This window comes from Homo sapiens, chromosome X, assembly GCF_000001405.40.
Source record: "Homo sapiens chromosome X, GRCh38.p14 Primary Assembly".
NCBI classification, from domain to species: domain Eukaryota; kingdom Metazoa; phylum Chordata; class Mammalia; order Primates; family Hominidae; genus Homo; species Homo sapiens.
In genome coordinates, this window is record NC_000023.11 from 75,638,109 (window position 1) to 75,663,859 (window position 25,751).

At 39.4% G+C, this 25,751-nt stretch overlaps 1 long non-coding RNA gene across 8 annotated transcripts in view; it reads left to right on the top strand.

The window, feature by feature from the left end:
• LOC107985664 (uncharacterized) overlaps nucleotides 1–25,751 on the top strand; it is a 270,484-nt gene that overhangs the window by 114,982 nt on the left and 129,751 nt on the right. For 2 of the 8 annotated variants that reach the window (XR_001755889.2, XR_001755885.2), the window contains one exon: nucleotides 17,692–18,914. The exons of 4 other annotated variants lie outside the window; for them this stretch is intronic. This is a non-coding gene — a long non-coding RNA (uncharacterized LOC107985664). Of the gene's footprint in view, nucleotides 1–17,691; nucleotides 18,915–25,751 lie in introns of those variants that run through there. 2 more of the 8 variants (XR_001755890.2, XR_001755893.2) reach the window with 2 other exon arrangements.

A 25,751-nucleotide genomic window follows, 5' to 3' on the forward strand; every position in this document is an offset into this window, starting at 1 on the left:
AGAACAACCAGCAGTGGGTGGGGCCCTAGAACTCCCAAGATTATATGCCCTTTGTCTTCTGCTACCAGGATGGGTAGGGAAAGACCATCAGGTGGGGGTGGGGCTAGGCATGTCTGAGCTCAGAGTCTCCTTGGGCTGGTCTTGCTGCAGCTGCTGTGGGGGATGGGGTTGAGATTCCCAAGTCACAGGAATTGTGTACCTAGGAGGACTGTGGCTGTCTCTGCTGGGTCATGCAGGTTGTCAGGGAAGTGGGGGAAAATCAGCAGTCACAGGCCTCACCCAGCTGCCACATAAACCAGAGGGCCATTCTCAGTCCCACTGTGCAGCCCACAACAGCCCCGAGTCTGTTTCCAGGCAGAGGGTGAGACAGGCTTGAAAACTTGCTGGATACTTTCCACCTCCCAGCTGCAAAAGAAAAGAGCTTTAGTTCTTCCACCACCTGTGAAGTCTGCAAGCGGGATTTGTGCCTCTTCCCCCACCCCAGAGTTCTGGCCAAGAGGCTTCTCACCCTTTCAAATTGTTACAGAGTTCAGCTAGAGAATTCCTTCTTTCTGTAGAGTTTTACTCCCTGCGCCTCTGGCCACCCTTGTAATGGATCCTTGTGGTACCAGGCAGGAATGGGCTGCTTGGGGATCTCGCGATCTCCTGGGGCCTTTCTGCTGCTCCCTCTACCCCTGTATTTCACTTGGTTTGGCACTCTGACTTGACTCAGCTCCAGGTAAAGTCAGAAACTTCTCTTGCAAACAGACCTTCAGCTGTGTGTTCAGGAGAGGAGGGTCTCCCTTTCCTACTTCCACAGTTGGGGCACTCACCGTATTTGGGGTGTCTCTGGGGTCCTGCAGGAGCAGTCCACTTCCTTCAGAGGGTCTGTGAGTCCTCTCAGTATTGCCCGTTTGTTCTTGCAGTTGATCTGGAGCTAAAATGCACAGTGCAAGCCTCCACATGCTGCTCTGTCCAGAGTTGCAATCTAGTCCCATGATCCCGACAAAATTCTCTGTTTTTGCGTTCCTATAAAGAAATACCTAAGACTGGGTAATTTATAAAGAAAAGAGGTTTAATTGGCTCACAGTTCTGCAGGCTGTACAGCAAGTATAGAATTGACATCACGTGGTTTCTGGGGAGGCCTCACAGAGCTTTTACTCATGACATTAGGTTAAGCAGGAGCTTGCATATTATGTAGTGAAAGCAGGAGCAACAGATAGTGAGTGAGGGGAAGGTGCCACACACTTTTAAATGACCAGAGCTTGTGAGAACTCACTATCACCAAGACAACACCAAGTCATGAGAGATCCATCCCTATGAACCAAACACTTCCCACCAGGCCCTAACCTCCAGGATGGGGTATTGCAATTCAACCTGAGATTTGGGCAGGGACAAATATCCAAACTATATTACGGCACTGTCCATAGTTGGTGCTCTGCCATGATAATGTGTGAGTCAGGGTGCAAAAGATGGAGACTGGATATTTTATGAATACTGAGTGATGTGTGGAGGGCCCAGTCATGGGCAGGCACACACTGACCCTTGAGGGTAAAGATAGCTACTTTATATCTGGGCCCAAAGTCTGTTGTCCTCTAGCTGCCTAGGTGCTGAGATTGTTGGGGGGACCCTATACAATTTCAGTCTTCTAGGACAATAAATGTAGTAGCCCACAAAACAGCAGTTGTCACCTATGTACCTTATCTTCCTAAAAATTGCCACACCAATTTTAGGGGAGACTGAATGAGTGATTATTAGACCCCAGAGGTTCCTGCCTTATATCAGTTTGCCTTAGTGGTTCTCTTTGTGGTTTTAAGAATAGGCCCTTCCTTTACATAACCTTTCCCTCACTGATATATACACAGACTCAAAGTCTCTAAGGACATATTTCCTTATGTAGAAGCAGTGTGAGGAGAGGAAAATCAGAACTTCTGAGACATGATACATTCAATATACTCCTGCCTTCACCACCATAGAGTATGGGAGCTAAAGATATTTCCTAGATAGTTTTCCTTAGCTTATGGGGGAATTAAAGGACTTTAAAATAGCCTGATTATTCTATATTTTCCTGACGATGTCTCTCACCGTTTCCTTGAGAAGTTCTCTATTTTATTTTCTTCCCATTACCTCAAGTATTTATTCTTTGTGTTATAAACAATCCAATTATACTTTTAGTTATTTTTAAGTGTAAAATTAAATTACTACTTATAGTTACCCTGTTGTGCTATCAAATATTAGATCTTATTAATTTTCTCTATTTATTAGGCAGTTCCAGCTGCCTATGTGTCTGTCTGTGTGGCAGACTGTACTCTAAAGTATTTGCTGATGATTCGGGAGCTAGGTCATAGGCCTATGGCTCAATCTTTAGGCCTCTGGAGTGAAATAACTATAAATGATCAAATCTTAGTCTCTCGTGGTAGCTGCTGTGTCAGGTAAGAAATGGCCTTATCAGGACGTTTTTTTTTTTTCCTTTGGGCAGGTTAGTGAGTTTTATGGGAAGCTAACTTCCAAATAGGATGTCTGTTTATTTAGACATGGTGGGAGATGTGCCTGCTGAGAGGACAGCCTGGTGGTGATAGTCCCCCAGACTAGTTATTTTGATCCTGAAGATTCCTTGTAGAGGACCACAAGTGATAGCCAGGGGTTGTTGGAAGTCATGAAAACAGTTGAGATAAGGTTGCATAAAGGGTAGGTCTAATAACTTCAGATACAAGGTCTCAAGCAACTGTATTTCTATATATTAGCAGTAAACAATTGGAAACTGAAACTAAAATTACAATACTATTCAAATATGCTCAAAGAGACCAAAATATGTATAAACCTAACAAAACATTTAAAGAATTTTTATGCTTAGAAGTATTAAATGTTCATAAAAAATCAAAGAAGACCTAAATAAATGGAGAAACATAACAATGTTCTTGGAATGGAAGATACAACATAGTAAAAATGTCAATTCTATGTAGATTTATATACCGATTTAACATCATTGCCATTAAAATGCCATGGGGATTCTTTTTAAATATAGAAAGCTGTTTGTAATTTTTTTATGGGGAGGCAAAGGAACTAGAATAGTCAGGAAAATTGGGGGAAAATAGAATACAGTTGGATGAATCACAACACTTAAATTAAAGACCTACTTATTCAAGACTTCATGGTGTTGGTGAATGGATAGACACATAGATTAATGGAACGAAATAGAGAGTCTGGAAATAGACCTAACAAATATGACCAATTGATTTTTTTTTTTACATTAAGTCCCAGGATACATGTGCAGAACGTGCAGGTTTGTTACACAGGTATACATGTGCCATGGTGGTTTGCTACACCAAACAACCCATCATCTATGTTTTAAGCCCTACATACATTAGGTATTTGTCCTAATACTCTCCCTCCCCTTGCCCTCCACCATTCAACAGGCCCTGCAATGTGATATTCCCCTCCCCATTTCAGTGTGTTCTCATTGTTCAACTCCCACTTATGAGTGAGAACATGTGGTGTTTGGTTTTCTGTTCCTGTGTTAGTTTGCTGAGAATGATGGCTTCCAGCTTCATCCATGTCCCTGCAAAGCACATGATCTCATTCTTTTTTTATGGCTGCATAGGATTCCCTGGTGTATATGTGCCATATTTTCTTTATTCAGTCTATCATTGATGGGCATTTGGGTTGGTTCCCATGTCTTTGCTATTGTAAATAGTGCTGCAATAAACATACATGTGCATGTGTCTTTATAGTAGAATGATTTATAATCCTTTGGGTATATACCCAGCAATGAGATTGCTGGGTCAAATAGGATTTCTGGTCCCAAATCCCTGAGGAATCGCCACACTGTCTTCCACAATGGTTGAACTAATTTACGTGCCCACCAACAGTGTAAAAGCATTTCTATTTCTTCACAGCCTCGCCAGCATCTATTGTTTCTTGACGTTTTAATAATTGCTATTCTGACTGGCATGAGATGGTATCTGATTGTGGTTTTGATTTGCATTTCTGTAATGATCAGTGATGTTGAGCTCTTTTTCATATGTTTATTGACCACATAAATGTCTTCTTTTGAGAAGTGTCTGTTTATATCCTTTGCCCACTTTTGGATGGTGGTGTTTGTTTTTTTCTTGTAAATTTAAGTTCCTTGTAGATTCTGGATATTAGACCTTTGTCAGATGGATAGATTGCAAAAATTTTCTCCCATTCTATAGGTTACCTGTTCACTCTGATGATAGTTTCTTTTGCTGTGCAGAAGCACTTTAGTTCAGTTAGATTCCATTTGTTAATTTTGGATTTTGTTGCAATTGCTTTTGGTGTTTTCATCATGAAGTCTTTGCCCATGCCTATGTCCTGAATGGTATTACCTAGGTTTTCTTCTAAGGTTTTTATGGTTTGGGGTTTTACATTTAAGTCTTTAATCCATCTTGAGTTAATTTTTGTATAAGGTGTAAGGAAGGGGTCCAGTTTCTGTTTTCTGCATATGACTTCCAGTTTTTCCAACACCATTTATTTAAGAGAGAATTCTTTCCCCATTACTTGTTTTTGTCAGGTTGTAGCAGGACAAGCCGCAGACAAAACCCCTCAGACAACAAGTTGTAGAAGGAAGGGGCTTTATTCAGCTGGAAACATTGGCAGACTAGCGTCTTAAAATCCGAGCTCCCTGAGTGCACAATTTCTGTCCCTTTTAAGGGCTCACAATGCTAAAGTTTTCACATGAGAGGGTCGTGACTGATTGAGCAAGCTAGGGAGTACATGACAGGGGCTGCATGCACCGCTAGTCAGAGTGAAACAGAACAGAGCAGGAAGGTTCACAATGTCCTTCCATACAATGTCTGGAATCTATAGATAACATCAGTGGCTAGGTCAGGGGTTGAATTTTAACTACTAGGCTTAGACCAGGCAGGCCCAGGCCTGGTTTGGGTCTGGTTCTCAGCGCTGGGCTCCCTGCCTTTTGTTTCACTTCTTTTTTTTTTTTTCAAGACATATTGAGTATAAAACAATCTGAGAGAGTTTTTCTCTTCTCTCATTTCCCCCCTTTGAGACTCTCACTCACTTTATTAGTGTGAGTTCTCACTTTCATTTTCACTACTTATGTCTTCCTGTATGATAGACTGATAGTGATTCATATAGTACACTTGTGCTGAAGCATTTTGATGAACTAGGGTAGCAGCTTTTTATTACATGAATTAGTATAGGTAGTAGACAAGGGTGCAGTAAGCAGGTTCCTATTATTATTATAATTCTTATTATTAGGGTTTTAAATCTTCGTAGTGCTGGGAAGTACCTTTCAAACATGGCCCCAGGGGCAAATCTGTGCCACACTTATACAGACACATGTGCCAGTTTTGTTATGTCTTTTACTGTATCTTCAACTGCCTGTCTTTGATTTTCTATGTGTAGCCAGCAATTAGTAAGGTTAAATTTCCTACAAACTCCTCCTTTAGCTTCTAGCAAGTAGTCGAGAGCCAATTTATTTTGATAGATAGCATTTTTCATCTGAGTTTCTTCCTGGGCCAGAATAGTCAAGCCTCTGCCAGTCTTATTAGTGATTATTTCTAAGACAGCTTGTAACTGTATGATTTGGTTGAGCATGCAAATGGGAGTCTGGTATCCCCACAAGCCATCTTGTGCCTAAGTAGCAGGCCCATAGTATTGTATGATTCTCTCGGGGGGGGGGGGCATTCATTATTTTTCTAATTTTTTTTATAGCTATGGTGTTTTTTTTGTTTGTTTGTTTTGTTTTTTTTTTGCGGGAAGCATAGACAGGGAAGCCCAGGAGTTTGCCTTTCTTTATGGGCAGTAGGATGAAAGATGGTTCAATAGTGCCAATAACACAATTATCTGCCCACTGGTTGGGTAATTTGGCGTAAACTCTATGCCCACATATCCAGTATAATCCAGTTGGGGCTCTCCACTCCTGGTGGGACTTCAGGTGGGTCCACACAGTTTGCAACATTGGAAATTTACTAAATGGAGTTTTCTTAGTCTGGTATGAACTCCACTAGGTGGCTGTTTTTGTTGTTGTTGTTGTTTGTGGTACTATTATACAGCTTCTGTCCCAGACAACTAAGTTGTCCTGCAGGATGAGTGAATTCTTTGCCTTCTCTAGCTATGCAATATTTTCCAGTAATTGACACTTTTAGAACCTAGAAATTAGCAGGGTGATTCTTTTGGGCTGGGAATTCATCAGGAACTGGGTCTGTAGGTACTAATTCTCAGGCTTCCCATGGCCATTGATTTTCTATTACAGTTTCTCCACATACATAGCATGAAGTGACATTGAGAGACTGGGATACATGCTCGACTAATTGCAAAAACACATTTCTTGTTTTTCCTGGAATTTCTGGTACTGGCACATTCAGTTCATCATAGAAGCTTTGAAATACTGGCTCAGGAGAGCGTTTATAAACTTCTCCTCAAACCACGATATTTACTTGAGGATCCAGTCCAGCTCCATCGATTCCTAGGGTTACACGCTCTCTTTTTTCTTAGCGAGGTTTAAGGGGGTTGGTTATTACTAGTTCTAAGGGGTTACACTGACCACTGGTACAGGAAGGGCCACTTTTCCTTTTCTGAAGGTGGATAGGATTTTTTTCATTTTTTATCCAAGTAGCCTAAATGACTCAAGACCAGTATCCACGTTCATTTTCACACAGGCCTAATTCATGACAAATGTACTTATTTTCTGCCATATAGCCTCTTTTCTAATTAAGAGAACCACATCTTATTCCTAACTTATTACTATTAATGACAGCACAGGCATCAAATTTTAAGGTGACTTCTTTGGGCACCCCTTTTTCTTCTGTTTTGGCTAACACTTTACTCATATAGTTTATGAGCCCCCACCAGTCCTCAGTCCTTAGTCTTATTTTAAAAACTGTGGTCATGGGAGGCTCAGATGGGTCATAACACATCAGGTTGGTCATTTCCTGGGCTATATACCTTGTATAGAATAACATTATACAAACAAGTTCTTTTTAGAGTTCCAGTATACTTATAATAACCATAAAATAATAGGACTGTAGCAACCTTTTGTCCTACCTCAGTGACTTGATGTATACACTGGGAACAGTCCTCAGTCTGAGGAAGGTCAGTTGAAGTCCTTACTGTACAAGTCCAAATTTTAAGGAAAATGAGTCCTGCGATGAGTTTTCTCATGCTTCGGCCATGTGTGGGCCAGTCAGCTTCTGCGTGTGACTGGAGCAGCGCTTGTCCTCTTCTTCAGTCACTTTGCAGGAGTTGGTGAAGCTGCTCCTGTCCATGTACAGCTCACGGTCTACTGATGTTCAAGGATGGTCTTGGAAGTTGGGCTCACTAGAATAAACTGAGTCTAATACCTCTACACAGTTATGTTCAACTGGGCTCTCTGATACTGGGAGCAAGGCGTTGGGGTTTAGGGTGTTGCAAACTTCAGTGGTTATGCGGGGATTTTCACATAGCAAACTTTGGTACTTGGTTAATCTAGCATTTGTTAACCATTGATGTCCATTGGTATTTATCAAAGTTACCACAGCATAGGGGTCCTTTATATTCAGGTTTTGCCCAAGGGTTAGTTTATCTACTTCTTGTGCTAACAGGGCCATTGCTGCCAGGGCCCTTAGACATGGGTCAAGCCTTTGGAAACCCCATTTAGTTGTTTTGAGAGATAGGCCACTGGCCTTGGCCAGGGCCCCACAGTCTGGGTTAAAACTCCAACTGCCATTTTTTCTTTTTCTGACACATAGAGTGTAAAGGGTTTTGTCAGGTCAGGTAGCCCCAGGGCTGGGGCCAACATCAGTTTTTCTTTTAACTCATGAAAAGCTCATTGCTCTTGGTTGTAATAGATGTAGTTTATCCAATCTACATTTCTATTAACTGTCACCCACCAAAATATTGACTCAAATCCTGCAGCTATTTGATTTCAAGCTTTAAATTGATCTGGTATTCCCCGTGGGACTCCAGTTGCATCTAAATAGACATGAGAGTTGAAAGACCCATAAGGGGCTTCTCTCGCTTTACGATGTCTTATTCTTCCCTCTGGTTGATGAAATGCCAGGGTGAAAGGGATAGCCAATTGGACTAAAGTACAAGTGCCACTCCAGCTATTTGGCAGAGTGCTCAGTGAAGGTCCACCACAATACCACCACACATCCGCTTGGGGATGAACAAGGGCTGACTGATTGATAAGCTCTTGAAAATTCTTAAGCTCACTGCATCCCTTCAGGTCTCCAAGGAATGCTAAGTTTCCTCCCTGTCGTGAGAGACACGAGGTGAACTTAGTGTTGGGAGACAGAAGCTGGATGGCCCTTGGGGGCTGACCTGCAGGGTGCTGGACTTCAGGATAAAGCAGAGAGAGCTTGGCACAACTTATTACTCCAGGCTGTAGAATCCTGGAAAAAAGCTACCATGCAGCCCACACCTGGTCGACTGGAGGACCACCTTAGTGGAAAGGGGACAATCTGGGCTTTTGTTTAATGTGCGGATGGAATATTTGATCCATTCCAACCAGGCATTTGCATCTTGGTATCTTGTCTTAATTGCCAAAGTTTAAGTCTTTAACTTCTATGATCCTCTAGTAAAAAAAATGTATGATTTTAGGAAATTACAAAAACCGGTTGGGGCAGTCCATCCTTGCTCTTTAGTGGTCCACAGAATGTTGGACCAACTATGGCATAAAAGCTCTACATTGAGTGGCAAGACTCCTGGTTGACACTGGAGTCTTTATCGAAATTTTCCCGGATTAAATTGTCCTAATTTACTAATGCCTAACCTGAGGAGAGTCAGGAGGGACAGGGGTACTTTTCTGAGGTAGAGAGCTGTCTTTGACTTGGCAAGTCCCCACAGGGTATAACAAGGCAAGCATTAAATGCAATAGTTTGAGGTGAAGTTGACTTGGTTATGTTAATAACTAGATGGTCAGCAATAGAGCGATGAAAGAAGAAAGAGTAATAGCATAGATGAAAGAGTTAAATTTTTCTTAGCTTTAGTTTGGTAGGCTATTCCCCTGGGACTGTGGCCCACAACTCAAGGGGGTGGGGCTTTGACTGGGGTGTGATGAGTCCATCCCTTTTTTGCTGTACGAACAGCAGTCTCGGTGGTTAGTAGCACAAGGTAGGGTCCTTCCTAGGCTGGCTCGAGTTTTTCTTCTTTCCTCCCTTTGATTAGAAGGTGATCTTCAGGCTGGCACTGGTTTACCGGAAATTCTAGGGGTGCTACCTGTGCTACAAGACTTTTAGTTTTGAGGGAAAAGAAAGTGGAAGATAAACCAAGTATATAATTTCTAAGAGACTGACCTTTTGTTTTAAATGTGGGGACATCAACAGTGGACTTTATAGTCTTTGGTGCCTTCTTACTGAGAAATTTATTTTAGCACCTATTTTTAGTTTTTAGACCAAAGAAAGCCAAACACCATTTTATATTTAATAATGCTTTTTGTATGATGTTTATACCAGATAAGCTAAATTTCACCTTTATATTAGTGTGTCATTAATGTTAAACTTAGTTTTAATAAAACTTTGTAGACATATGTATTCAACTTTTAATGTCAGACCATAAGGTAAGGTTTTTGTAGACCTTTTTTCAAACTTTTATAATCTTTGTTGAAGAGCAGGTTAGTGCTTTAAGAAAAACCCATTGTGTTTTTACTTTAATGTCCAGTTCACAGAAAAACTGGATGATACCCCTTTAACTTTAGCTAATATTTTTACACACATAATTTACACACAATTAACATCTTAAAACTTGCTTAAACCTTTACAACAATTTTTTAACCTTTTAATATAGGTAAAAGTCCACATTCTTATGCCTCCTTATAATCCCTTTACCAAAGGTATACTTTACTTTTCTTATACACCTTGCTGTTTCTTCAATAGCTTTACATTCAGGAGGCCTAATTACTTTTAAATTATACAACATTTCTTGCATAAATTCTTTTTCTAACACACTTTTAAAATAATTTTTTTTCGTGACTTTTACAGGCAATTCTTCAACATGTTTTAACTTTCTGACTTATTACAAACTTTTTTTTCTTTAAACAACCAGTTAATTTATTTCAGGAGAAGAATTTACCATATAACTTTTTTTACATAAATTTTGCCCCCTCCTTTTTTCCCTTTTATCGAAGATAACCATTCTTTCCACAGCGAACTTCCTTTATGTCTGTGGACTAGACTGTCTAAGGCCACAAGATTAGAAATTACTATAATACATGTTACACTGTTAACTTTTAGCAAACTTTACTTTTGTTGAAAACCTTGTAAGTTTGGGATTTCAATTATCCTTTGCTATTAATAAGACCTTGTTTAGTCCAAACTAACTTAGAATTGGTATAGATGGCTATTTTTTTTTTCCTTCAATTACCCGGGAGGAACCATCTATCGTCCTGTCCTGAAGTGAGTTCCTCCTAGGTCTGGTTGGACCTTTGTATGTCAATTAAGATTTAGATCTCCTGTTAGGAAACCTGGTGGGTTAAGGGAATTTTCAGTGGTTAAAGTTAAATCATCCTTTTTTTTTTTTTTTTTTTACAGAATAGCCCCATGCTTCCTCAAGAAAAAAACACTACACTCACACCACATACACACCACAAAACAAAGAATGGGTAAAAAGGGCACACACACACTTTTACAGTTTATACCAAACCAGAATCAAAACCAAAACCAGAGTATCAAGAAAACCAAGCCAGATCAAAACCAAAACCAAAGTATCAAGCAGTTCAAGTCAAGTCAAAAATAAAAACCAAAGTGCTGGTACAGGCATGTCGTGGGTGATCAGGCCACGCTTCCACTCAAATGGAGTGGGCAAGTTCCAAAGCCCAGTCTTACCGAGTTTCAGATGTCCGAACTCCAAGTGCCAGCTCCTTCCTGGTGTTCAGCAACTACGTTGATCCTCTGTGGGGACCTGCCATGCACCGCTCTGATGATGTGTTCCACCGGGGAAAAGGCCTACCCAGGAGCCCTTTCAGGATCCGCATTGCTCAAGCTGGCCAGAGTCCCCCGCAGGGATGCTCCACAGGGAAGTGTAAGCCACCTAAGGAGCTGCCTCGACCGTCTGTCAGTTAATCACCTCATTTCCCAGTCAGGGAACCAAGAAATGTAGCAGGACAAGCCACAGACAAAACCCCTCAGACACCAAGTTGTAGAAGGAAGGGGCTTTATTCAGCTGGAAGTGTTGGCAGACTAGCGTCTTAAAATCCGAGCTCCCTGAGTGCACAATTTCTGTCCCTTTTAAGAGCTCACAATGCTAAAGGTTTCACACGAGAGGGTCGTGACTGATTGAGCAAGCTAGGGGGTACGTGACAGGAGCTGCATGCACCAGTAGTCAAAGTGAAGCAGAACAGAGCAGGAAGTTTCACAATGTCCTTCCATACAATGTCTGGAATCTATAGATAACATCAGTGGCTAGGTCAGGGGTTGAATTTTAACTACTAGGCTTGGGCCAGGCAGGCCCAGGCCTGGTTTGGGTCCAGTTCTCAGTGCCAGGCTGCCTGCCTTTTGTTTTGCTTCCTTTTTTTTTTAAGACAGATATTGAGTATAAAACAATATAAAACTATCTGAGAGCGTTTTTCTCTTCTCTCATTTCCCCCCTTTGAGACTCTCACTCACTTTATTAGTACATTGTCTCTTTGTTCCCGTTGGTTTCAAAGAACTTCTTGATTTCTGCCTTAATTTCAATATTTACCAGGAGTTATTCAGGAGCAGGTTGTTCAATTTCCATATAGTTGTGTGGTTTTGTATGAGTTTCTTAATCCTAAGTCCTAATTTGATTGCACTGTTGTCAGACTGTTATAATTTCAGTTATTTTGCATTTTTAGAGTGTTTTACTTCCAATTATGTGGTCAATTTTAGAATAAGTGTCATGTGGCACTGAGAAGAATGTATATTTTGTTGATTTTGGGGGGAGAGTTCCTTACCTATCTATTAGGTTCACTTGACCCAGAGCTGAGGTCAAGTCCTGAATATTCTTGTTAGTTTTCTGTCTCATTGATCTTTAACAGTGTGGTGTTGAAATCTCCCACTATTATTGTGTGGGAGTCTACCCCTCTTTGTAGGTCTCTAAAAACTTGTTATATGCATCTGGGTTCTCCTGTATTGGGTGCATGTGTATTTGGGATAGTCAGCTTTTCTTGTTGCATTGATCCCTTTACCATTATGTAATGCCCTTCTTTGTCGTTTTTGATAATTGTTAGTCTAAAGTCTGCTTTATCAGAGACTGGGTTTGCAACCCCTGCTTTTTTTTTTTTAACTTTCCGTTTGCTTGGTAAATGTTTCTCTATCCCTTTATTTTGAGCTTATCTGTGTCTTTGCATGTGAAATGTGTCTCCTGAATACAGCACACATATAGGTCTTTACTCTTTACCCCATTTGCCAATATGTGTCTTTTAATTGGGGCATTTAACCTCTTTATTTTTAAGGTTAATATTGTTATGTGTGAATTTGATCCTGTCATCATGATGCTAGCTAGTGATTTAGCACACTAGTTGATGCTGTTTTCTCATAGTGTCATTGGCCTTTATATATTTTGGTGCATTTTTGCAGTGGCTGGTACTGGTTTTTCCTGTCTATATTTAGTGTTTATTTCAGGAGCCCATGCAAGGCAGACCTGGTGGTGACAAAATTCTTTAGCGTTTGCTTGTCTGGAAAGGATTTTATTTATTTTTCACTTATGAAGCTTAGTTTGGCTGGATATAAAATTCTGGGTTAAAAATTCTTTAAGAATGTTGAATATTGGTCCCTACTCTCCTCTGGCTTGTAGGGTTTCTGCTGACACATCCACTGTTAGTCTGATGGGTTTCCCTTTGTAGGTAACCTGACCTTTCTCTCTTGCTGCCCGTAACATTTTTTCCATTTTTTTTTTTTTTCGACCTTGGAGAATCTGATCATTATGTGTCTTGGGGTTGATTTTCTTGTGGAGTATCTTAGTGGTGTTCTCTGTATTTCCTGAATTTGAATGTTGGCCTGTCTCACTATGCTGGGGAAGTTCTGGATAATATCCTTAAGTGTGTTTTCCAACTTGGTTTCATTCTACCTATCTCTTTCAGGTACTCCAATCAATCGTAGGTTCAGTCTTTATACATAGTCAAATATTTCTTGGACGTTTTCTTGTTCATTTCTTTTCATTATTTTTTCTCTAATCTTGTCTGCATGCCTTATTTTAGCAAGATTGTCTTCGAACTCTGATATCCTTCCTCCCTCTTGATCAATTAGGCTATTGATACTTGTGTATGCTTCTCGAAGTTCTCATGCTGTGTTTTTCAGCTTTATCAGGTCGTTTATGTTCCTCTCTAAACTGGTTATTCTAGTTAGCATCTCTTGTAACCTTTTATCAAGGTTCTTAGCTTCTTTGCATTGGCTTAGGACATGCTCCTTTAGCTCAGCAGTTTGTTGTTACCCACCTTCTGAAGCTTACTTCTTTCAGTTTGTCTATTTCATTCTCTGTCCAGTTTTGCACCCTTGCTGGAGAGGTGTTGCACCCATTAGGAGGAGAAGAGGCATTCTGGGTTTTCAGTGTTTTTGTGCTGGCTTTTCCTCATCTTTGTGGATTTATCTATCTTTGATCTTTGAGGCTGATGATCTTTGGATGGGGTTTATGTGTGTGTTGGGGGGTGGTTCTTTTCTGTTGATGTTGTTGTTGCTTTCTGGGTTTGTTGTTGTTGTTTTGTTTTTTTCCCCCAATAGGTTTCTCTTCTGCAGGTCTGCTGCAGTTTGCTAGAGGTCCCCTTCAGACCCTGTTTGCCTGGGTATCATCAGTGGAGGCTGCGGAACAGCAGATTACTGCCTGCTCTTTCCTCCAGAAGCTTCGGGACACCAGCCTGATGCCACTCGGAGCTCTCCTGTATGAGGTGTCTGTTAACCCCTGTTGGGAGGTCTCTCTCAGTCAGGAGGCACAGGGGTCAGGGACCTGCTTGAGGAGGCAGTCTGTCCCTTAGCAGAGCTGGTGCCCTGTGCTGGGAGTATCCTGCTTGTCAGGATCAGCCACTCTCTTTAGAGCTGGCAGGCAGGAAAGATTAAGTCCACTGAACCTGCTACCGCAGCTTCCCCTCCCCCCAGGTGCTCTGTCCCAGGGAGATCAGAGTTTTGTCTGTTAGACCCTGATGGGAGCTGCCAGATTTCCTGCAGAGATGCCCTGCTCAGTGAGGAGGAATCTAGAGGAGCAGTCTGGCTGCAGCTGCTTTGCTGCTCTGTGGTGAATTTTGCCCAGTCCAAACCTCCCAGTCTCCTTAGCGCTGTAAGGGGCAAACTGCCTACTAAAGTTATGGGAATGATAGTCACCCCTCCCCTTATGAAACTTGATCATCCTAGGCCAACTCCAGAGTGCTGTGCTGGTAGTGAGAATTTCAAGCCAGTGTTTCTTGGCTTGCTGGGCTCCGTGGGAGTGGGACCCATTGAACGAGACTGCTTGGCTCCCTGGCTTCAGCCTCCTTTCCAGGGGAGTGGATGGTTCTCCTTTCTCACTGGAGTTCCAGATGCCACTGGAGTAGGATAAAACTCCTGCAGCTCGGTGCCTGCCCTGGTTTTGTGCTTGAAACTCAGGACTCTGATGCTGTAGGCACATGAGGGAATCTCCTGATCCACAGACTGCAGAAATCCGTGGGAAAAGCATAGTATCCCAGGCAGGTAGCACAGTCCCTCACCACTTCCCTTGGCTGGGGAGGAAGGTCCCCTGGCTCTGTGCACTTCCCAGATGAAGTGACGCCCCACCCTGCTTCTACTCACTCTCTGTGGGTCGCTTCCACTGCCTAACCAGTCCCAGTTGGATGAACTGGGTACCTCAGTTGGAAATGCAGAAATCACTCACTTTTCTGCATTGGTCTTGCTGGGAGCTGCAGACTGGAGTTGTTTCTATTTGGCCATCTTGGCCCCTCCCCTGATCAGTTGATTTTTAACAAAGGTGGAAAGGCAATTGAATGGAGAAAAGATAGTCTCTTCAGTAAATGGTATTGGAAAAACTAGACATCCATAAGCAAAAAAAAAAAAAAAAATGCACCTCATACCTTATAGAAATAAGTCAAAGTGGATCCCAGATCTAAATGTAACACATAAAACTATAAAACATGTAGAATAATAGAAAGGAGGAAATCTTCAGGACCTAGAGTCTGGCAAAAATGTCTCAGATATGACACCAAAAGCCTGATCCATAAAAGAAATAAGAATAAAATTGACTTTATTAAAATGGAAACTCTTACTTTGCAAAATCTTTGTTAAAGAGAATAAAAAGTCAAGTGACAGACCTGAAGAAAATATTCATCAATCACATTTCCAACAAAGAACTTCTATCTAAAACACATAATGAACTTTCAAAACACAACATTGAAAAAGAAACAAATTAGAACATGGACAAAGGACATGAACAGACATTTTACCAAAGAGGATCTATGGGTGGAAAGTATGCACATGAAAAATGTTCAATATCATTAGCCATTTAGGGAAGTGCTGACAGTGATGAGATAAGATTGCACAGATATTAGAATGGCTAAAATAAAAATATTGATCATACCAATGCAAGGATGCAGAGAAACTGGAACTCTCATAAATTACTGATGGGAATGCAAAGTGGTACTTCAACTCAGGCAAATAATTTGGATTTAAAAAAATTGAACATGTCCTTTTCATATGACCCAGCAGTCCCACTCCTAGGTGTTTTATTTAGAGAAATGAAAACTTAAGATTATACAATAAACTGTACATTGTTTATAGCAGCACTTTTATTAATAAATAAAGAGTATGAACAACTCAAATGTCCTTCCATAGGTGACTAGATAAACTTTGTTACATCCATACTATGAAATACTATTCAGGAACAAATTGGAATAAGCTATTGATACACACAAGTTGGATGATTCTAAAAGGCATTATGCTCAGTAAAAGAATGCCAGTCTCAAAATGTCACATACTCTATGTTTGGTTTTGTATGACAGTCTTGAAACGATAAAGTTATAGTGACTGATGGCAGATTACTGGTAGCCAAAAATTAAGGATGGGGGAAGGTATGACTACAAAAGGATAGCACAAAGGAATTTTGGAGGTGGTGGAAAAGTACTGTATCCTAATGAGGCAGTCGTTATGTGAATCTATACATATGTTAAAATTCATAGAACTATATATGAAAAAAGACTTAATTTTTAAAATAAAAATTTCAAAGGCTGAAAATAATTGGAGGACTTAATGGATTTCTTAGCAAAGGAAAGAAACTATTACTCAAGAGGCCTTTGACTTTTGGCCCTGCGATATACCACAAGCATTTTGAGTAAAGACTGAGTAATCAGAAGAATGTCAATCTGCTTTGTTCTGCCTGAGGTGGGTCACTCGCATACATTAAGAGCTACTAACTTGTACACCTGAAGTTTCTGGCCCTGCTTTCACATTTCCCCAGGAATGTAAGGGGAGACTGGGCAGGAGGCTCTTGAGGCTTTAAGGATCCTACTTGGTTTGTCTTTCCTCATTTTCTCTGCTCTATCCTTCAGTTTATAGGTGGGACTTTCCTGTACTATTCATACCCAGAACTGTCCTGAAGATAATGTCCATTAGTGTAAATCTAAAAGAATGTGGGTAATTTATTTATAGGTGCCCTCATTACCGTTTTATCACCTCCAGGTCTATTGTGTTCTCTCTGCTAGAAAAACAATTATTTCTATAGTCCTTGACTCTTCTCCTGAATAAGATCAGGACAAGATCAGTGTAGGGAAATGATGAGTGTGACGGAGTTTGGAAATAGGTGAATCAACTCTGAAGCTGTTGCAATCAACCCAGAGAGTGGGCTTAAGACCTTAACTATGGCAGTGATGGCATGAATATTAAAGAAGGGCTGGCCTTGGCAGATACTTCAGAGAGAGAAACTATAGAAGTTATACTATTTGTATATGCATTCATCAGTAACCCCAATTCCCTCCCCCTTACTGTCTGCAATTTCAGGCTTGCTGGGATTATGAACAGGGCATATGGGCTAGCTGTAAATCCAATCAGTGAAAGCTAGAAATCTGTCATCTATCCCTGATTGGCTTCAGATTTGGTGAGCACAGAGATATCCATTCTGGCTTTACCAGGGCAGTACCTCTGATTTTCAGAGCCAGTTCTTCCTTAAGAGTATCTAAATACCTATACCCTGCTTTTCTATACTTCTGTTGTTGCTGTGAGACACAGTAGTGATTAATTTTTTAAGGCAGTGGTTCTTAAATTTTGCTGCTTGTTGGAATTACCTGTTGATCTTCAGAAAATACTAATGTCTGGGTCTTACCCCGCAGACATTCTGATTTAATGTATATGGAGTGTGACACAAGTGTCAGAAAATTTTAAAGTTTTCATGTTAAAATATCCATAAAATTTTGGAAACTACCACTTTAAGAACTTCTGTATAATTATTACTGGCAACATAGCTTGGATGGAAAGTGTATTCTGGGAGAAAAACCAGAACTGACTCCTTGACAAGCCAATGCATTAGTCGTGGTATTGATGCTTTCTAAATGAATGATCCAAATGAAAGGACAAGGTTTGCTGAAGGAAGATTGTGTACCTCACCAGCATAAGAGATTGGCCATCATGAGTGAACTATGTTTTATGTGATAGAGAAATGTAAATGACCAGATTTGTATTTTAAGTGGAGTCTTTAGAAGTATTATTGAAGATGGAACCGAGGACTAGAGAGAAGATTATTAGAATGGTCTGATCAGGGAGTGAGGATGTGGGAGTGCAAATAAGAAAGAGAGATTGGATTGCTTGGCAGACCCTGTCTTCATGTCATTCACTCATCTATCCACAGGGGTAGCAGAGGTGGAAGAGCAGACAGATGTGGCAATATGGTGATAAGGTGAACCCTACACAGGTCTGCTCACCACAAGGAGGCAGAAAGCAGGAAAAGCAGAAAGTGCCAAAGGAGAGGATATACAAGATGTCTTAATGAGGAGTTACTGATCCAGTCATGGCCAGTGTGAGTAGCAGCACTTGCTCCCTGTGGGAGAGCATTAGTCTACTCTTTATGGGGTTGCAGACTGGATAGGGAAAAGTGTAGGAGAGCAGCAAATAGGATGATGATATTATGTCTCTTTGAAATCTCTATGTATATTGGGCAGAGGACAAGGTATAGGACTGGCATACTGGGCAGTATGGTTGCTGTCCTTGAAGGCCTAGGAAAATTCTCTTGACATGAATAGAGGAAGTTGAGTGAAGAAGAATTAGGGGAACCCTCTGGTAGTTTCTCTTTAATCTCTGAGTGAAAGACCTTTTTTTTTTTTCCTCTGCTGTGGCTGGAATCTAGTTCCAGAGGATAGCAGTATCATATGTTAATTAATGACAATAAGTCTGGAGCCAGGCTATTAAGAGTTATATCCTAGCTTCCCTAATTCCTAGCATGCAAGGCTTTGGGAAATTTTTTAACTTTTCTGTGCTTCAGTTTCTTCATCTTAAAACTTGGATGATTGTACCCACCTTATGGGATTCTGTGCAGGTTAAATCAATTTATTTCTGTAAATTACCTATAATACTCCATAAATGCCAATGATTACTATTACTATCAATTGCAGAAATTCTACTCAGGATTTAAGGCTTTTATTCTCATTGTTTAGGCAACACTGTCTCACATGTCTGAATGCTGTGCTGCACTGTTGACTGTCACTGTTGGGGATATTGGAAGATCACAAGAAACTCCTGATCCTGAATACTGGCCTGAGCCTCTTTTGGAAGAGGCCTTCCAGAACCCTACTCTTGCTAGAACTGAATGCCAGAGCTGTGTAATGGGGACATCCTGTTGTGAACTTATGTCCTTTCTGGACAAATGTATTCAATTTGAGGCAGCATGCCCAATGGTTAGCCACTCAACCTCTGAACCCAAACCCCCAGCTCTACTGCTTAATAGCTATATAACCTTGAGAAAATTCATTAATATTCCTGTACTTCAATTTTATCATGTATAAAATAAGGATAATAATTTTACATGTCTTATGGGGTTGTTATGATGATTAAATGGGTTAACATTTCTAAAAAATACTTGAACAGTGCCTGATACATTGTAAATGCATATATATGTGTTTTTAAAAATAGACAATTATATACCATTAAATGTTAACCTGGCTTTGATGCAGCTAGTTGATCAAATAATCTAAATCTTTGTAATTGGATAGTAATAGAAAAGAAGGAAGAGAAAGAGAATATGCATGTTTACAAAAGCAAAAGCCTAGGCTTTGGATGTGGTGAGGACAGACATCTCTGAGATGTCCTTAATTTTATCCACTTCCATTGAATGTTATTTGCGTTCACCTCTTGTGCAAAATAAGAACCAAAAGGGAGTCTTCCTTATTATCTCCCTTTCCTCTACATCCATACATAATGTCTATTGTGCCCCCAAGAGCTCTTCTAAGTGTCTAGAACACCACAATAATCAAAGAGACATGATTTTTCCATCACAGAGCTACATTCAGATGGTAAACACACTGAGGTTTTAAAGAGATAATTTTAGTGGCTTGTTTAATGTGGCTTAATCTGAAGGGACACAGTAAAACCAGAGGAGGTTAATATCCCAGCACCTAACCTATATAGGCAGAAACATCCAAATATAGATGGAAGGAAAATTGACATGAACTAGGCCATGCTAGCAGGAAAAGATGAGAAGGATCAGATTTTAAGATAGAAGCACAGTAGCAGTATGAACCTACAGGATTTGGCAGGAGTTTGGATGTATTTGAGCATATGTATATAAGGGTACTTTCTGACCAAATAAGGGGATAGTAAGGCCATTAACAAAGAGAAGGGAAGGGGAGGAGAAGAAGGGAAAAAACACTCTTTTGTGTGCTATAATTGCTGTTTGAAATGAATTACTACTGAGAGGGGATTTCCACAAAATGTTTCTGGGATTTTTTGGAACCAGGGTCTTTATTTGGGCAACCCTGCACCTACTGCATGCATCGTCGAGCCTACCCTCTGCTGGTGTGTGCTGAAGATTACATGATCAAGGCTCTTAAGTGTGTGATGGAAGGTGCTCAATGGGAATTGTATCCTTCCAAATGGAGACTGCCAGGGAAAAGTTTTCTGCATGCTAAGGTGATTTCTCAGAGCTGAGACCAAGTGCATGGGGGTCTGTGATCAATGCCATGTGGGAGCTGCTCCTTACAGTTGACAGATAGCCAGGGTGTCCTCAGATGGAGTTTATGAAACCTGAAGTTTAGCAAAACATTTCATATAATGATCATATTAATTTCTCAAATTGTTTTTCTTTTTAACCCAATCTAGTATAGGTGACCATGCAGACTCTTCAGAAATAGACATTGGCAAACTTTGCTCAGAAAGAGTCTGAAAGACATACAAGCGGCCAAGAAACATGAAAAAATGCCTCACATCACTAATCGTCAGAGAAATGCACATCAAAACCACAATGAGATACCACACCAGTCAGAATGGCTTTTATTAAAATTTCAAAAAATAACAGATGTTGGGGAGGCTGTGAAGACAAGGGGACATATGCAATGGTGGTGTGAATATAAATTAGTTCAGCCACTGTGGAGAGCAGTTTGGAGATTTCTCAAAGAACTGAGTTGAACTACTGTTTAACCCAGCAATTCCATTGCTGGGTATATACCCAAAGGAAAATAGATCATTCTTCCACAAGGACACATGCACCTGTACATTCATTGCAGTGCCCATCATAATAGCATAAACATGGAATAAACCAAGGTGCCCATCAATGGTGGATTGAATAAAAAAAAAGTGGTACAAATACAACATGGAATACTATGCAGCCTTGGAAAAGCATGAAATCATGTTGTTTACAGCAACATGAATGCAGCCAGGGGCCATTATCCTAAGCAAACTAATTCCAAAGTATAAGTAATTATACTTATTGTATAAGTAATAATTTATAAATATTTGTTTTTTCCTTGAAAACCAAATACTGCATGTTCTTACTTACAAATGGGAGCTAAACAATTGGGTACCCATGGACATTAACATGGGAGCAACAGACACTGGAGACTACTAGAGGAGGGAGAGAAGGAAGAGGTCAAGGGCTGAAAAACTACCTATTGGGCACTATGCTCACTACTTGGGTGATAGGTTCAGTCATACCCCAAGCCTCAGCATCACACAACTTACCTTTGAAACAAACCTGCACATGTACCCTCTGATTCTAAAATAGAAGTTGAAAAAAGAGCCTCAGTATCTCTTTTACTCATGAAAATGTGTTATGGTAAACCTGAAATATTAAAAGCATTTCCCTTATCTATTGTACATATCTCACTCTTTAAATTTTTAAACAATTATTCTGGGTATGTAATAGCTGTACATATATATAGGGTCCATGTGAAATTTTGATACAAGCATACATTGTGTAATGATAAAATAGAGGTAATTGGGATATCCATTACCTCCAGCTTTTACTTTAGTTATAGAAGGTACATAGGTAGGATTGTTACATAAGCATATTGGATCCAGATAGTGAGCATAGTACCCAATAGGTAGTTTCGAACCCACATCCCCCTCCCTCCTTGCACTAGTAGTCCACAGTGCTTATTGTTATCACGTTTATGTCCACATGTGCTCAATGTTTAGCTCCAACATATAAGTTAGAATATACATATTTGGTTTTCTATTCCTGTGTTAATTCAGTCAGGATTATAGCCACTGGCTCCATCCATGTTGCTGCAAAGGACATGATTTTATTCTGTTTTATGGCTACGTAGTATTGCATGATATATTTGTACCACATTTTCATTATCCAATCCACCATTGATGGGCACCTAGGTTGATTCTATGTCTTTGCTATTGTGAATAATAACGTGACAAACATATGAGTGCATGTGTGTTTTTGGTATAATGATCTATATTCCTTCGGGTGTATATTCAGCAATGGAATTGCTGGGTGGAATGGTAGCTCTGTTTTAAGTTCTTTGATAAATCTCCAAACTGCTTTCCACAGAGACTAGACTAATTTACATTTCCACCAACAGTGCATAGGCATTCTCTTGTCTCCACAGCCTCACCAGCATTGTCTTTTGACTTTTTAATAGTAGCCATTCTGAAAGGTGTGAGATAATATCTCATTGTAGTTTTGACTTGCATTTCTCTGAGGATTAGTAATGAGTATTTTTTCATGTTTGTTGGCCGCCTGTATGTCTTCTTTTGAGAAGTGTCTCTTCATGTCCTTAGTCTACTTTTTAACAGGGTTTTTTGTTTTTTACTTGTTGATTTGCTTAAGTTTCTTAAGGATTCTGGATATTAGACCCTTGTCAGATGCATAGTTTGTCAATATTTTCTCCCATTCTGTAGGTTGTCTGGTTTTTATTGATTTTCTTTCTTTCTTTCTTTCTTTCTTTCTTTCTTTCTTTCTTTCTTTCTTTCTTTCTTTCTTTCTTTTTAACTGTTCGGAAGCTCTTTTATTTATTTAGGCCCTACTTGTCAATTTGTTTCTATTGCAATTGCTTTTGGGAACTTGGCCATAAATTCTTCGCCAAAGCCAACGTTAAGAAGGGTATTCCCTAGGTTTGCTTCTGGAATTTTTTGTTTGAGATCTTACATTTAAATATTTAATCCATCTTCAGTTAATTTTTGTATATGGTGAAAGGTAAGGATCTACTTTCATTCTTCTGCATATACCTAGCCAGTAACCGCAGCACCATTTACTGAATAGGGAGTCCTCTCCTCATTGCTTGTTTTTGTCAGCTTTGTTGAACATTCCCTCCAGGGCAAGTTCATCTATGTGCTCCAGGTTGGAACTCCCACATCCAGGGGGTCACCTCAGGAGAGCATGCCGAAAGCATGCACACTTGGCCAGTTTTACAACTTACTTCTGCCCAGGAAGGTGCCAACTCAGCTTTCTGGTAGATAAGGCACAAGCTAGCAGGGAACCCCTCCCCTTGCTCATTTCCTCCCCTACCTTATAAAAATGTCTACTTTTTGCTGCAAAGGCAAAACAGCACATTTACAGCAGGACACTTTAAATGTGATACTTCTTCCAAGCTAATTTTAAAATTGAATTTCTTTTTTTGTACCAGTACTCACGCTTGTTCATTGGACACTACATGTGGTAAGCCACTAACCTGTTTTTCGATTGCAATATGGCAGTTCTATTTTTAGCTTTTTGAGGAACTTTCATACCATAAGTGGTTTTAGTAATACACATTCCCACTGGCAGTGTACAAGGGTTCCCTTTTATCCATGCCAGCATCTGTTATTGCCCATTTTTTTATAATAGCCACTTTAACTGGGGTGAGATGATAGCTCATTGTGATTTTAATTTGAATTTCTCTGATGATTAGTGATGTTGAGCATTTTTTCATATACCTGTAGACTATTTTTATGTCATCTTTTGAGCAATGTCAATTCAAATTCTTTACCCATTTTTAATCAAATTATTTTTTATTGAGATGTTTGAATTACTTATATATTCCAGTTATTAATTCCTTGTTAGATAAGTTGATTGCTAATATTATCACCTGTTCTGTAGGTCATCTGTTTATTTGTTGATCCTTTTCTTTGCCATGCAGAAGTCATTTAGTTTGCTATGATTCCATTTGTTGTTTTTTGCTTTGATTACCTATACTTTTGTTGTCTTACTCAAGAAGTCTTTATGCTGACCAATGTCCTGGAGCATTTCTCCAATATTTTCTGTTAGTAATTTCATGGTTTCAGGTCTTAGGTTTAGGTCTTTAATCCATTTAATTTGATTTTTGCTTATTACAGGAGATAGGGATCTAGTTTTATTCTTCTGCATACAGATATTCAGTTTTTTCAACAGTGGTTATTGAAGAGTTTACATTTCCCATTCTTGAGGAGTTTACACGGTTTATTTTTAGAAAACCGAATTTTAACTTTAATTCAGAAGGTACATTGCAGGTTTGTTACATGAGTATATAGGATGATGCTGAAGTTTGGGTTATGAGTAATCCCATTACCCACATACTTAGCATAGTACCCAATAATTAGTTTTCTAATACTTAGCCCTTTATTTCTCTCTCCTCTCAGTAGTCGCAAATTTCTTTTGTTGCTATCTTTATATCTATGAGTACCCAATGATTACACCCTACTTAAAAGTGAGACCATGCGGTATTTGGTTTTATGTTTCTGCATTAATTTGCTTAGGATAATGGCCTCCAGCTGCATCCATGTTGCGGCAATGGTTGCCTGTGTCTTTTTTGTGGAATGAATTATTTTCTTTTGGATATCCAGCCAGTAATGGGAATCCTGGGTTGAATGATAGTTCTAAGATATTTGACAAATTTCTAAACTGCTTTCCACAATGGCAGAACTAATTTACATTCCCACCAACAGTTTATGAGCATTCCCTTTTCTCTGTAGCCTCACCAGCATTTGTTAGTTTTTGACTTTTTAATAGTAGCCATTCTGACTGTTGTAAGATGGTATCTCATTATGGTTTTGATTTGCATTTTTTGATGATTAGTGATGTGGAGCATGTTTTCATATGTTTGTTGGCTGTTTGTATGTCTTCTTTTGAAAAGTGTTTATGTCTTTTGCCCACTTGTTAATGGGGTTCTTTGTTTTTTGCTTGTTCACTTGTTTAAGTTCATTATAGTTTCTAGATATTAGGCCTTTGTTAGTTTGTGAATATTTTCTCTCATTCTTCAGTTTGTTTAATCTGTAGATTGTTTCTTTTACTGTGCAGATGCTCTTTTTAATTAGGTCACATTTGTCAATTTTTATTTTTGTTGCAATTGCTTTTGAGGAATAAGTCATAAATTTATTTCTAAGACCAATATACAGAATGGTGTTTATAGCGTTGTTTATAGAATTCTTATAGTTTAGGTCTTGAGTTCATTTCTGTATACAGTGAAAGGTAGGGATACAGTTTAATTCTTCTACATGTTGATAGCCAGTTATTCCAGAACCATTTATTGAGTAATGAATTCATTCCTCATTGTTTATTTTTGTGAACTTTGTCAAAGACCAGATGGCTGAAGGTGTGCAGCTTTATTTCTAGGTTATTTTGTTCCATTGGTCTATGTGTCTGTTTTTATACCAGTACCATGCTGTTTTGGTTACTGTAGGCTTACAGTATAGTTTGACATTGGGTAATGTGATACCACCAGCTTTTTTTTCGTTTATATTAAGATTGTTTTAGCTATTTGGGCTCCTTTTAGGTATTTGGGCTCTTTTTAGGTTTCACGCGAATTTTAGAATTTTTTTTAAATTATGTGAAAAATGACATTGGTAGTTTGATAAGAATAATGTTGATTCTGTAAATTGCTTTGGCCAGTATGGTTATTTTAATTATATTGATTTTTCTAGTTTATGAGCATTAAATGTTCTTCCATTTGTTTGTGTCATTTATGATTTATTTCAACATTATTTTGTAAAACTCCTTTTAGTTAAATGTATTCCTAGTGATTTTTTTGTGGTTATTGTAAATGAGATTGCATTTTTTATTTGACTATCAGCTTGAACATTATTAGTATGTAGAAATGCTACTGATATTTGGACATTGCTTTCATGTCTTGAAACTTTGCTGAAGTTGTCAGTTCCAGGAGTCTTTTGGCTGAGCCTTTAGGGTTTTCTAGGTATAGAATCATATCCTTTGTAAAGAGATATAATTTTATCTCTTCTTTTACTATGTGAATGCCTTTTATTTCTTTCTCTAATCTGATTTTTCTGGCTAGCACCTCCAATACTGTATTGAATAGAAATGGTGAGAGTGAGCATTTATGTTTTACTCCAGTTCTCAAGGGGAATCCTTCCAGTTTTTGCCCACTCTGTATGATGTTCACTCTGGGTTTTATTATTTAGATGGCTTTTATTATTTTATGGTATGTTTCTTTGATGTCTAGTCTGTTGAGAATTTTTATCATGAAAAGATGGCAGATTTTATTGAAAGTCCAGAAC